Raw genomic sequence first — 7,949 nt, forward strand, 5'->3', positions numbered from 1 at the left:
CCTATTAAAGTTTATCATCAACTAGCAGTTGAGCTAAAAGGAATAGGATGCAAATAACTCTGACCATGATTTACAACTTACCCATTAGTTTCTTAACAGGGTAAACTGAACTTCTGTATGCCTAGCTAGCTTGAAGTCACTTGCCTTGGGCTAGCAATTAACCATTTGCCAAGGCCTGAGTGTTTAATACGAATGAAACATGTCATAAGATTGATGAAGACCATAAATAATAGGAATAATTTTAATAAGAAAAAAGCTCACAAACTTTACTTTCCCACACCTGCCTACCCACCTGTACTGCCTTCTGCATCACTGAAGAGAATTTTCTAATTGTGTCTTTGAAATATAATGCATCCCATAAATGGGGTTTTAACAGCAGGAGCTAAGGAGATGAAGAATAAAAGCCTATAAAGCCTTTTACATTCCCTGTTTCATTGTTAAAGGATTGGCTTCACTTTCTTTAAAAATTTATATCAGCTATACAAAAATTAGGGTGAAGGTGTATTGATATTCTAAAATGACATTGGCATCCATAGCACACAATTCTAAATATTTCCATGAGTTGAGTATTGTAAAGATGAGATTATGTTTGCATTTAAACTCTTGCCTGATTTTGCAAGGTAATGTTATAGAATACCAGGGTTTTATACCAAAGTTGCCGGCATCAGATAACAGAAGGAAGTGATTGCTATTATTGTAAAAGGTAGATAAAATTTGTTTTACTTTTGTGCTGTTCATCTAAAGAATTGCACAATATATTGAAAAACCAGATTCTTGAGGAAGTTTAATCGATCTCTTGGTTGTTAGGCTAAAAAACAATTTCTAATCGTGAAGAGAAGTTACTGTAATGTACTTTGGACTCACTATGTACAATTCTCCCTCTACCGCCAGGACTTACTTGCATTCAGGCTTTGCTCTAGAAGAAATAAGAAGACATTTTCTTTTAGCATAATGAACACAGCTGTTTAGTTCTTCACCAGTTAACATTTTCAAGTTTAGTCTAGCCAGGTTTTGAGGGGCTGTTCTCTTGTTTACATGACTGGCTAATCTAGACAAGAGTTTAAGGGTAACTATCCCTAGGAGGTACTGAGAGCCAGCAGCAGGATGGACAGAGGTGAAAATAAGGGAAGAAAATTCATCTACATACCCAGCAGGTATCAGTCATTTATATATTCATCTGTTTTCAGTTCTCAACTTGATAAGAGTGTGTCCATTTCATGGTGCCATGCAGAGAAAATGAAGTGTGTAAGGTCATTCAATAAAGATTAAATTAAAAACATATTCCTATTGCACCCTCAGGGTCCATTAGCCTTGATGAGTGTACAAATACGTTCTTTGTGTTATGTGCTCCATCCTGAAAGAGATTGTGTGCTTCGCTCATTATAAATGTGCACCTGAAAAGACTGAACATTATCCCCTCTTTTTTAACTGACCTGTGGCCACCGCTGGGTTCATTAGTGCAGAACATCTTTTCCACTGGCTGAGTCTGCCCTATTGTTTGCCTTGGCTAGGGTCAAGTCAAGGGCACCCAGCCTAGATTGGACTCATTTGTCACAGGGTCTAGCAACAAAGCTGATTTCAGCAGAGATGGGGTGAATTTCATGGGGCTGAAACACAACCTTTGACACCAAGTGCCCAGGGCTGCTCAGAGTTGCACAGATGGCCTGCCACCCTTAGGCATCCAGGAACAAAGAATTGGTGAATTATAACAAAAATAAAGTTTCCACAGTCAGCGTATATTTTAAGTGTTTAAATTATTTGCAGGGATTTTTGACAGTCTAAAATTGCATCTTGAGCACTTGTGATAATCGCTGTGCTTTTTAGACTATGAAGGAAAAAAACAATTCAGTTGGGGGCTTATTGCTTAACTGGTGTAACGGTGTAAAGTGTAGCAATTTAGTGTGGAGTGCAGGTTTTCCATGGTCAGCAGGAGCTGGCATGAACAATGGGTCGTGCTGAGGTAGCATGTGGAAAATGACTTTAATACACTATATAGAATGGCTTATTGCCTTGGTCAATAGGCTGCAGTGAAGATGGTGTATTCAGCCACTTGGGAAGGTTAAACCTGTCAGGGAACACTGTGACTGATATGCAGGGGCTGCTTATGAGGTCTCTAATGGAAAAACCTGACAAGCAAAGTTATAAAGGTTACACTTGACACATACTTCAGCATTATGCCTTATATTAATCCATTTTTTTAAAGGTAGGGTACTTTATATTTGTTAGAAATTGATGCCACAATAGTATTAACACTCCAGAGGAAACATTTAAACTTTGCAGTAAAGTAAGGAACATTATAGGATGAGATCACTGCCTGGGTAAGGACACTTGTCTAATATGCTAGCATCATATTTCTCTTTCTCACAGTAAATAATCTGCTACATTAGTGCCTTATTATTATCTTTCAGGATTCATAATTTTTAAAAACCTCTTCATGATATTTTCCTTTTGTATTTGAGGGAATATATATTATAATTGCATTATAATATATCCTGAGAGAAGGTTAAGAGAACATTGAATTTATGTTTAGGATGTTTCATCCCCTTCTCATTGGAAAAGAAAAACTACAGAATAAAATCCTACTTTTGCACTGAAATTTGGTGCTGTGGTCTAGTTCAATATAAGTGGGTGACCTGGAGTTTTCCAAATGATTTCCCAAGGATATTATTCCTGTGTTAGTATGGTAATTGGATATTATAAGTGTTCTTGATCAATTAAATATATATTGGTAAAAGTGAATATAATTAGGCACGTAATTTTAATTTTATAAAGAATGGAAAGTAAGTGACAGTTCAAATACTTATGAAAGTGTGGGTACTATCTGCAACTACTCTATGTTTTGTGGGCATTTTTGGGCAATAAATCAGGCATTTGATTATCCCTAATTCCATACAAAAAGCAAACAGATTGATAAAGAGTAGACCATTTTATTGTGAAGCCACGAAATATACTAACATACTTTATTATTAAAATTATTAAAAAATCCAAGAATTATAATATATGATAGAATATATAAAAGAGTGTTAACATTAGATAGAATATTTTACATTGTTTCCTCTTTTTTCTCTTAATTCAATGAGAATCTTAGAAATTGTTTTTGCTTATAAGTTTTAGAAGAGTCATTTGTTTGTAAAAAGTGTTGGATTGACAATTCTGGATAGTGAGGTCCTTTATATTATTATATTTCCTTATATAAAATAGCCCCAAAAATGATTTATATGTTTTAGTAAAAGAAGGTATTTTTATCTGAGACAAACCTATGATTGAGTATTAGACGTCTAGCCTTTTTTTGACACCTAGACATAGGATGATAAGAAGAACTTATAGTAAAAATGTAACTCCATAAAATGGCAATTTCAAATATTGAAAGCAATAAAAAAATAAATATTGACTAAAGGTTGAAGGTAAATCGTTCCTGACTATCCCATTCTCGTGAACATTTAGTTGTTAAAATCATACGAAAAGACATAAATAGTAGCCAGTAAAACACTATGTCTTGACTGAGTTTAAAAATATTTTATGTGCTTGTAGAATTGTACTACAAATAAATTTTAGTTGTAACAGTATTAATGTTCTTGTGAATGTATGTACATACACATGTATGTACATAAATATACATGTTGTATATTTATTATGGTGTGAATGTATGTGTATAAATATACACTTTCCTAGTTAGATATAGTTAAGTTTGAAGTCTGGTGCTTCAAATAGTGCAGAACTGTATTTACCTTACACTGCAGATTGGTTAGATTATAATCCGATTTTCAAAAGATGTTTAGAGAAAAAGAATTCTGAATTTTTTTCTCTTTGTTATGAAGACATATACACATTCTTTTTATATTTTTTCCTTGTGAAGATGTAGGTATACTTTTGTTCTGAAATGTTATCCCGGTCAAAGTTAGATAAAGAAAAATGTAAATGGGATATTTTTATTTTATATGTTTTTTATAATTAATTATATTAGCAGTGCATGAAAGTTACTAAAACTAAAAATTTTGAGACTCTATGTGCCAAAGTTATATACAGTTTTATAAATAACTATGCATGTATTTTATAAATTCTCTGTATTTTAAAAAATATTTCTACTTGCATATTTAAAGTTATTCTTGTGTTCTTGATATGGATATTATATGCATATACATATGCTTATAAATATTAATTTATTTCTTTATATTTCTCTTCTCACTCAAAATGTAAATATATATACTAAAAAATTTCAAAGATTTCTGTACCGAGAATTAGGAAGAGCTTCTATTAAACGAGAAAATAAGGAATCCGCTCCATAAAAAATAAGGTCAAAGTATGTAAGAATAATGATTATTATTGCATAAAACAAGGCAAACTAGGCACAAAACTGTATTTCAGTAGCATTGCAACTCTAACCAGAAAACACTCTCCATGAGTAGCTGACTTCAAAGTACTTCCTACCATGTTCTTTAACAAAAGCTAGAACTAGATTTCACTGCATTATATGTCAGGCAAAATATTCTCCCAAAAGTGAATTGAATTAAGTCAGTAAACATTGCGTACCCTGTATATGCCAGATTCTATGCTAGACATTTAAAAATATTCAAATATGTAAGATGTAAGATGAGTTTCTCACCCTTTAGTCATTCCAGTTGAACATCCTATTGTATAATAAAGAATTTTTATTCACACTTTCTTTACACAACTAACCTACCCTGAGAAAAAAAAATATTAAAATCTTCCAAAGTGACAGCCACTTTGAAAATTCTCAAACAACTGTGGAAGTCAATCAAACCACTGAATGGTAATTGTTAAGTGAAATTATGTGAGTAAAATTGTTAAATTGAGGTAATTGATATTTAATACTATAGTTCAAACCGTATGTGAGACAGAAAAACCTTTCATGTCTCATATTAATATTAGATAGTTTTACTGTTTTCATTTTTATTGAATTGATCACTTGTTTGCATGCATAGGCTTAGTATCTTGTATGATTATTTTTCCCAAACAAAAATTGAGTATTAGAATAACATAGCAAGCATAGGTAGAATATGTTATCATGGCCTATGGTCACTTTATACCATCCAGTCTTCCAACTAAATGGAGACTCCAGGCTTTGTGGTTAACAATAAGAAGTAATTGGTTCTGCCAGTTCACTTCTCAGTGAACAAAATGGGTAAGAGGAAAAGACCATCAATTGCTATTAACCAGCAGTTTCAACAGAGGCCTCAAACTGAGTGGATAAAGAAATCAAATTAATTTTTCAGTCCTCAGAGTCATCATTAAAGTTTTTGAGGCTCACAGAAAGCGAAGTCTGTGCATCTTATGTTGCCTTTGCCTTTCTTACAGATTATCATAAAATTTTATTCCCAGAAGTTATCCTGAACACTAAATTTTTTTAAGAATGATTTTTGGTAAGTCAGGATTATGTGATTAAGGTTTCACAAAGTCTCAACTGGAATTAATTTCTAGAAGACACTATCCCATATCCCCTGATTCAGCATTTCATTCTTGATGGTTTCACAATAATGTTAGCCTACAGGCAATTTTACCAGCCAATTTTCACTCTATTTTTAGATTATTATTATGATAATATGTGTGATACATCTGAGAAAGGGAAGCAAAATAGTGCTCTTGAAAAATACAATATTAATATTTATAAAGGTGAGTTTTATGAAATCTAAATTTAGCTAATTTTCCTGCAGAGTATGAAAGAGCACCCCTTAGGCACAATTTGTTCATGTTTGCTCATTCATCTAACATCTTAAACATCATTTCATAAATGAGACTGCATTTTCATAAATAATTCCTAATAGAAGTATAAAAACAAAAGTGAGTATTGTATTCTTGAAAAGAAATTGTATTGGTGTCCGATTGCTCAAAAACAAATATTGTGGAGGTTTTTTCTTAAACTGAGTATGAAGAGTAATAAATTTTGCATAAAGTTACTAAGATACACATCTCATGCAGAGGAAAAGAGCAAGTATATCATTTTTCTTTATAAGCCACTTGAAATAAGTAAGACTGGTAAGTACATGAACTCTGAATAGCTAAGACCTTTTTTCTCAGCAAATGTGTGACACTTTTGAAGTCAGCAGATGTGCTATCTGTAGAAATATAGAACATAAGTATCAATCATCCAAAGTTAAATAAAAATGTTCATTTGCAATTGAAAGGCTTTTATTAAGTATATGCACACTAGACTGGAGGTACTATTTTGTTTATGTGAAGCCAGTGTTTTCTAATAAAGATTTTGAGACTTGAGATGGGTTGGGAACAATGTATGGGAAAAGAGATTACAGTCACTATATTTAAATTAATCCATAATATTTTGAAGTCAAATAAAAATCCATTTTTATATCTTGCTTATAATTGAGTCAGGTCACAACCTCTTTGGAATTACATAATATATGTTATTTATGCCACAAAACCTTTTTGATCTTTGGTTGACTTGATGTTTTGACCTTGCCTCAGAACACAAAGCATTTGTGTTAACTGATGGAGAGGTCACTGAGCTTACAGCATAGTTTTGGTGTTTTATTTTAACAGTTCAATAATAAGGTGAAGGGGAACACTCCTGAGAGTGACCATAATAGCTTTATTGCTTTTCTGTTATTAAAACCTCTTAAGATAATTGTTTTCAAAATTATAATATGATCTTTTTAGAATTTCTAGACTGAAGATCAATTTGTGCTGGTCATGATTCCATTTCTGCTGTTTCACATTGTGTTAATTTTCATTAAGTTCATTATATTTGAAATCTCTCAGAAGGTTTATTTAAAATGCATTGCCTGACTAGATACATACTGCATATTTTTACACCTAAAGATAACAAGATCTAACTTATGGTTCTATTCCTCAGAATAACTATATTAAATGTTTTAATGATGCTCACAGTTTGATGTTATTTTTGTGTATTTAAATATATTGTATTTTACATGTAAATATATATTTAAATATATATTACTGGTAATTTCATAATAATACATTAAATCAGGCATTTAATATTAAAGCTTAATTTGTGTATTGAATAGGCTTAGATAAACTTCAGAAGAAAACATCAATATGCTTTTCTAGAACATATCATGTCTACAGAAAACATCTAAATGTTTGATTTCTAAAATAGTAGTCTGTAAACTAGATTAGTGTTCCCTAAAGCCATTCAGGGTCTAAATAAATTTAAAAATTATTTTTTTTTCTAAATATTGCCCTGTAAGTGACAATTATTTATGATCATTTTGCTTACAGGTGTTTGTCCAGTCGGGTCTAGTCAGGGTTTATAAACATTGAGATTCATGATGATAGCCTTTGGAAAGCTACTTCATCTAGGCCCTGTTTTCTCCCTCAGTTTTGAGCTTTTTCTTTTACATTCTCAAATGTAAAAGTAGTTACGGTTGTTCAGCATTCTCAAATGTAAAAGCAAAAGCTCAAAACTGAGGGAGAAAACAGCTTATTAAGGAACTTGGAACATAAAATTTATTCATATTTAATTAGCCAGTTTTTCATTATTAGTCATTATATCTTAAAGAATTTTGTTTATGTAAATCATAGTAAACAATTTTCCATTGCATGATTTATTTAAAGAGAGTTTTCTTATAGACAAGTTCTCTACTCAACAAATTTGCCTTAAATATTTTCTAACAATTTACCAAAATAAAGAAAACAAATGAATTAATTTTATTATTTTTATTTTTTATTATGAAATTAATTGATGTATAGGTCACTTAAAAATACACTTAAGTGTACTGTTTGATGAAGTTTGACAAATGTATATATCAATGTGCAACCACCACCACAATCAAGATATGTAACTTTTTATCACCTCAAAGTGTATCCTTGTTACTCTACCAATCTCCCCAACTCATGGAGTTAGGCAACCACTGATCTGATTTCTGTTCTGTAGAGTAGTTATGGTTGTTCAATAATTTCATATAAACAAAATCATGCAGTTTGTTTTTATTTTGGCCTGAGCTTTTTATGCT

At 31.6% G+C, this 7,949-nt stretch overlaps 1 annotated feature.

Moving 5' to 3' along the window:
- Positions 660-2,753: an enhancer, noted in NCBI's record as "VISTA enhancer hs952". NCBI's record gives its function as "enhancer in: neural tube[11/12] | hindbrain (rhombencephalon)[9/12] | midbrain (mesencephalon)[12/12] | dorsal root ganglion[12/12] | forebrain[9/12] | eye[12/12] | trigeminal V (ganglion, cranial)[11/12] | facial mesenchyme[12/12]" and the evidence as "EXISTENCE:transgenic organism evidence [ECO:0001131][PMID:17130149]".

Source organism: Homo sapiens, chromosome 5 (assembly GCF_000001405.40).
Source record: "Homo sapiens chromosome 5, GRCh38.p14 Primary Assembly".
Taxonomy (NCBI): Eukaryota; Metazoa; Chordata; class Mammalia; order Primates; family Hominidae; genus Homo; species Homo sapiens.